At 37.8% G+C, this 1,539-nt stretch overlaps 1 annotated feature.

Moving 5' to 3' along the window:
• Positions 320-927: an enhancer, noted in NCBI's record as "NANOG hESC enhancer chr4:85334758-85335365 (GRCh37/hg19 assembly coordinates)". NCBI's record gives its function as "activates a minimal SCP1, AML or CMV promoter by ChIP-STARR-seq in naive H9 embryonic stem cells {active_cell/tissue: H9 hESC(naive)}" and the evidence as "EXISTENCE:reporter gene assay evidence [ECO:0000049][PMID:30033119]".

The following is a 1,539-nucleotide window of genomic DNA, read 5'->3' on the forward strand; positions in this document are numbered from 1 at the left end:
ACACTTATAATCCCGGCGCTTTGGGAGGCTGAAGCAGACAGATCAGTTGAGGCCAGGAATTCAAGACCAGCCTGCCTAACATGGCAAAACCCCATCTCTACTAAAGATACAAAAATTAACCAGGCATGGAGGCGCATACCTGTAATACCAGCTGCTCACAGGTTGAGGCACAAGAATCACTTGCACCTGGGAGACAGAGGCTGCAATGAGACAAGATTGTGCCACAACACTCCAGCCTAGATTACAAAGTGAGACTGTCTCAAAAAAAAAAAAAAAGAGTATTCTCTCTTTTTTTCTCTTTTCTGTCTACTTGCATATAATGCAAGTATTCCTTCATTAATTCACTCATCCTACAAATTTTAATATGCACATGCTAAGTGCTGGGAAGACAGCATGAAGAGGGCAGACTCAGTCCCTCCCTGCCTCCTCAGAACTCACAGTCTAAAGCAGTCTTTATTCCATCTAAAATGCAAAAAGAAAAATAGACTGTTTTTTATTAGTGTCATTCCAAATGGACTTCTTTATTATGACTTTAATTGCTTGTAAAGCACCTAGTAGATCTCTGCCCACTTCAAAAGGATCCTTGATAAGTATGCATAAGATAGCTCAGCAGGGTGCAAGCTGCATGCAATTATTTCTTAGTTAATCCCTTTATAGATGAGTCTACTTGTGAAGTGTCAGGATAGAGTACCTAACATGGGGGAAGAAAAGCCTCCATTCTTATTGGTTCATGTGTTTCATATTGCCTGGTGAGCCTCTGCTCTTCATTTTCAGGAAAGTGTCATTGAACAGACATCTTTGTGTCATCTAACATGTGTTTAGTGATTACTTTATCTGTAAGTAGTGAAGATCATACTAAAAGATTGCTCCCTCTGTCTAGTTAAAGCTGACAGCGTTGTCACTACTTCAGTGATAGATTCAATACCCCAGCTTCTTTTCATGAGTGTGTCTTATTCTATAGCCAAGAAATACAGATGGTTTGAGAACAGACAAAGCCTGCTGTAGCCAATGGATTCAATGTCACATTCTTAGAGTTAATATCAGACAAGGAAGGTTTATTTAAAGTTTGTTTTTCCTTTATCCTATACCCCAGACCTTATTCTTTGCTTTCAATGTTGAAATGGTTAGTTGGGTCAACTACTTAATGCTAATTTTTTGAAGGTGTTTTCATGGAAGATGATTTGTCCTTTTCTCCTCCCTAATTCTTCTATCTTTTCCTGACAACACATGTTTATTCCAGTAATGGCATCTAGGGTAAATATTCCTATCTTAATGTGTAAGAATGATTCTAATGGTGGGAATTTCTAGCCAGGATAGATAGGAAATCTAATCATCAAGGAAATTATTTTGATAAATTGAGACTAAAAGAATTTCTTAAGTAACTAGGTATGTAGCTAGAGCTACTGATGATAACAGCAAAGAAAATATTTGAAAGGGGTATTGTTTTTATTCTGTATACCCCCTTCTTGTCTGGAATTAGTTGGAATCAAAGTGTTCTTCCTCAAAGACATTTTAATGGCCCGTCCTATTTGAAGGTGA

The sequence above is a fragment of the Homo sapiens genome, chromosome 4 (assembly GCF_000001405.40).
Source record: "Homo sapiens chromosome 4, GRCh38.p14 Primary Assembly".
NCBI classification, from domain to species: domain Eukaryota; kingdom Metazoa; phylum Chordata; class Mammalia; order Primates; family Hominidae; genus Homo; species Homo sapiens.